General features: G+C 41.5%; 1 annotated feature.

Moving 5' to 3' along the window:
• Positions 756-805: an enhancer, noted in NCBI's record as "active region_5935". NCBI's record gives its function as "activates an Ori minimal core promoter by ATAC-STARR-seq in GM12878 lymphoblastoid cells {active_cell/tissue: GM12878}" and the evidence as "EXISTENCE:reporter gene assay evidence [ECO:0000049][PMID:35858748]".

Here is a 5,034-nt window from a genome sequence, read left to right on the forward strand (position 1 = left end):
TGATGGCAGAGCTCTAGGTTTAAGATCCACAAATGCTTTTGTGTCTGAGATTCCCCAAGCTACATCAACCCTATGCTTGTGGGGCCTGGTTGTTCTGCTCTACGGATTCTGGGAAATGCACAAGCAGCCTTCCTATACATTCATTTTTCATTAGCAGCTTTTAGCAAGCTTCTTTCTTTTCTTTTCTTTTCTTTTTTTTTTTTTTTGAGACAGGATCTCACCGTTGCCCAGGCTGAAGTGAAGCGGCATGACCATGGATCGCAGCACAACCTCCTGGGCTCAGGTGATCCTTTCACCTCAGCCTCCCGAGTAGTTGGAATTACAGGCAAGCACCACTACGCCCAACTAATTTTTTGTATCTTCAGCAGAAATGAGATTTTGCCATGTTTTCCAGGCTGGTCTGGAACTCCTGGGCTCAAACAATTTGCTTACCTGGGCTTCCCAAAGTGCTGAGATTACAGCACTGAGCTACCATGCCTGGCCCACAAGCTTATTTCTATCACTTACAAATGAAAATATAACACAATACACAAATTATCTAAATAACAAGAAGTAGGGAAATGATAACCTGAGATGGATTAGAATGAAATATAAAGTTATAGTGGTTTGGGGAAACGACTGTAACCTTGAAAGGAAAGTTAAGTATGTCCCTGACTATAAAAGAACTAGAGATGTAAATGTGTAATCTGTGTTTCCTAAGGAGTTCATCTCCTACATATATACCCCATCAGTAGCCTGGAAGTATGGATGCTGTCTCACTACTTGAAGACATTTCTTCTATTTAAAATGTCTCTGACTGCAGTCTGCCCTCTAGAATGTGTCAGAAGTACTTTTGGAAAGAAAAATGGATCTTTACTGTAAGTCTAGACATACTCACTTGTAAACATTTCTGAGTTACCCTGGCTGAGAAGCTTATTACCCCAGATCACTATTCTTTACATTTTCCACCCAAAGAGGAAGCTGTGGGTCCCTTTTGAGTCACTGAATTGCTGCTGTGGTTTCCATCTGGCTTGCTGATACCAGTTTCATCACCACGACCCTTGGTATACATCTGTTCCTTCCTCTGCTTCTTACGCAGTCTCCTTTTCTAGTTACTCTAGTCATGAATCCCAACATTTGATTGCTAGATATTTTCTGATGTTTTTAATTTATCTGTTAGTGTTTATTGGTGGTTTTTTAACTCGTAAGATGTCCTTTTTTTCTCAGAGGATTTTAACCTAGAGGTTACCAATATGGGCTTGAGTGTTATGAAGCCTAAATCTGAATTCTGGTTCTGGCATATTCCAGCACTCTTCAGGAGCTCAGGCAAGTTTTTAACTTTTAAAGTGTTGGGTATGTTATTTGTAAAATGGCAGTAATAGCATTTTCCTCATTTTGTGAAAATTAAACAAGTTAATTACCATTCAGGGCTTAGAGCAGTGCCTGACATATCAACATATGTTACCTATCATTGCTTTAGAGGTACATCTTTCATAATGCTCCAAAATTAGAGCTAGCGTCAGCTGGAACTCATCTTTTTACTGGTATATTACTTAGGATACTTGTATTAAGTTGTTTTTTTTTTTTAATCAAGGAAATTCTTTTTTTGTCCTTCTCCATGAATTCTCTGTGAAAACACCAATATTTAAATTAAAAAATGCTCAGAGATTTTCTCTAGCAGACTAAATCTTTGCTATTTTTATTTTTTATACTTTAAGTTCTGGAGTACATGTGCAGGACATGCAGGTTTGTTGCATAGGTAAATGTGTACCACGGTAGTTTGTTGCACCTATCAACCCATCACCTAGGTATTAGCCCAGCACGCATTAGCTCTTTTCCCCAAAGGTCTACCCCCTCCCTATCCTCCCCTGACAGGCCCCAGTAAGTGTTTTTCCCCTCCCTATGTCCATATGTTCTCATTGTTCAACTCCCACTTATGAGTGAGAACATGCGGTGTCTGGTTTTCTGTTACCATGTTAGTTTGCTGACAATGATGGTTTCCAGCTTCATCCATATCCCTGCAAAGAACATGAACCCATTCTTTTTTATGGTTGCATAGTATTCCATGGTGTATATGTGCCACATTTTCTTTATTCAGTCTAACATTGACGGGCATTTGGGTTGGTTCCAAGTCTTTGCTATTGTGAATAGTGCCACAATAAACATACATGTGCATGTGTCTTTATAGCAGAATGATTTATAATCTTTTGAATATATACCCAGTAATGGGATTGTTGGGTCAAATGGTATTTCTTGTTCTAGATCCTTGAGGAATTGCAACACTGTCTTTCACAATGGTTGAACTAATTTACACTCCTACCAACAATGTAAAAGCATTTCTATTTCTCCACATTCTCCCCAGCATCTGTTGTTTCCTGACTTTTTAACAATTGCCATTCTAACTGGTGTGAGATGGTATCTTACTGTGATTTTGATTTGCATTTCTCTAATGACCAGTGATGATGAGCTTTTTTTCATATGTTTTTTGGCCACATAAAAGTCTTCTTTTGAAAAGGGTCTGTTAATATCCTTCACCTACTTTTTGATGGGGTGATTTGTTTTTTTCTTGTAAACTTGTTTAAGTTCCTTGTAGATTCTGGATATTAGCTGTCAGGCCTCTGAGCTTAAGCTAAGCCATCATATCCCCTGTGACCTGCACATATACATCCAGATGGCCTGAAGCAATTGAAGATCCACAAAAGAAGTGAAAATAGCCTTAACTGATGACATTCCACCATTGTGATTTGTTCCTGTCCCACCCTAACTGATACATATATTCTCCCCCGCTCTTAAGAAGGTACTTTGTAATATTCTCCCCAACCTTTAAGAAGGTACTTTGTAATATTCTTCCCCGCCCTTAAGAATGTACTTTGTACACCTATCCCAAACCTATAAGAACTAATGATAATCCCACCACCCTTTGCTGACTTTCTTTTCGGACTCAGCCCACCTGCACCCAGGTGAAATAAACAGCCTTGTTGCTCACACAAAGCCTGTTTGGTGGTCTCTTCACATGGACATGCATGAAATTAGCCCTTTGTCAGATGGATAGATTGCAAAAATTTTCTCCCATTCTGTAGGTTGCCCATTCACTCTGATGATAGTTTCTTTTGCTGTGCAGAAGCTCTTTAGTTTAATTAGATCCCATTTGTCAATTTTGTCTTTTGTTGCCATTGCTTTTGGTGTTTTAGTCATGAAGTCGTTGCCCATGCCTATGTCCTGAATGGTATTGCCTAGGTTTTCTTCTAGGGTTTTTATGGTTTTACGTCTTACATTTAAATCTTTAATCCATCTTGAGTCAATTTTTGTAATAAGCGGGATGGCTGAATAGGAACAGCTCTGGTCTGCAGCTCCCAGTGAGACCAACACAGGTGGGTGATTTCTGCATTTCCAACTGAGGTACCTGGTTCATCTCATTGGAACTGGTTAGACAGTGGATGCAGCCCACAGAGGGTGAGCAGAAGCAGGGTGGGGTGTTGCCTCACCCAGGAAGTGCAAGGAGTCAGGGAACTCCCTCCCCTAGCCAAGGAAAGCCATGAGAGACCCTGCTGTGAGGCATGGTGCTATCCAGCCTAGATACTAAGCTTTTCTCCCACGGTCTTTGCAACCCACAGACCAGGAGATTCCCTGTGATGCCTATACCACACAAGGGCCCTGGGTTTCAAGCACAAAACTGGGTGGCTGTTTGGGCAGACACCGAGCTAGCTGCAGGAGTTTTTTTATCATACCCCAGTGGTGCTTGGAACGCCAGTGAGACGGAGCTGTTCACTCCTCTGGAAAGGGGGCTGAAGCCAGGGAGCCAAGTGGTCTTGCTCAGTGCATCCCACCCTCACAGAGCCCAGCAAGCTAAGATCCACTGGCTTGAAATTATCGCTGCCAGCACAGCAGCCTGAAGTCGACGTGGGACGAGCTTGGTAGGGGGAGGGACTTCCTCCATTACTGAAGCTTGAGTAGGTGGTTTTCCTCTCATAGTGTAAACAAAGCCCCCTGGGAAGTTCGGACTGGGTGGAGCCCACTGCAGCACGGCAAAGCCACTGTAGCCAGACTGCTTCTCTAGATTCCTCCTCTCTGGGCAGGGCATCTCTGAAAGAAAGGCAGCAGCCCCAGTCAGGGGCTTGTAGATAAAACTCCCATCTTCCTGGGACAGAGCATCTGGGGGAAGGGGCGGCTGTGGGTGCAGCTTCACTGTCTTGTTAATAGTGGCTATTTTCATCAATAGAGAGGATCGAGTAAGATGCCTTCATTTAAATTTTCTAAGCCAAGATGAATGTTATTTAAAAGCCAGTTTCAAAATATCTTATGCTTTGTTTTGCTTTATTGGCAATTATTAAAATGAAGCTCATCAGTCTGCAGTGAATAACTGTTGTCCTCCTTCCCACGATGTACATTTCTGCTCCTTTTCCAATCCCTGGGGAGCCTATTTCTTCTTTCTAGAAGATGTACTGAGCCACCCAGTGACGTGTACTATTGACATGCTAATTTGACAATTTTGGCATTGCCTCAATTCATGATTTTCAAACTTTACTCTTGGTTGGCTTTTTGCTTCAAAAAAATTTGACTGAATTTGCCTTCACCACTACCATCAAGGACTTTCTGGTCTCATTTACATGATTTCAGTTTAAGAACATTTGAGCTAGAAAACTATTTTCTTGTACCGTAATAACAAAATGACGTGACTACTCATACAGTACCGAACCTACACTGGCGTGGCCCAAATTCCTTAAAATAATTTACATAAGTTTATTTTTATAACCCCTTTCATTGAAGATGGGGCAGAGAAAGGCCACAATTATGTCCTTAGGGGTTATAAACTCTTGACATATAATGCCAATGGTCGGAGGGCAGGGGACAAACACATTAAAGATCCAACAAAAGATCTAAATAATGAATCACAGACACAACCCGTAAGACCACTTTATTAGGAATCTGTTTCCAAAGCATCCATATCTGTCAGTCACTCCCTTTACTCCAGCCTCTTCTGGCTGTATTCACCAATATCGTCTTTTTGCAAACTCAGCTTTGCTGTTTAACCTGAGAACTCAAAAAGGACATCAG

This window comes from Homo sapiens, chromosome 12, assembly GCF_000001405.40.
Source record: "Homo sapiens chromosome 12, GRCh38.p14 Primary Assembly".
NCBI lineage: Eukaryota > Metazoa > Chordata > Mammalia > Primates > Hominidae > Homo > Homo sapiens.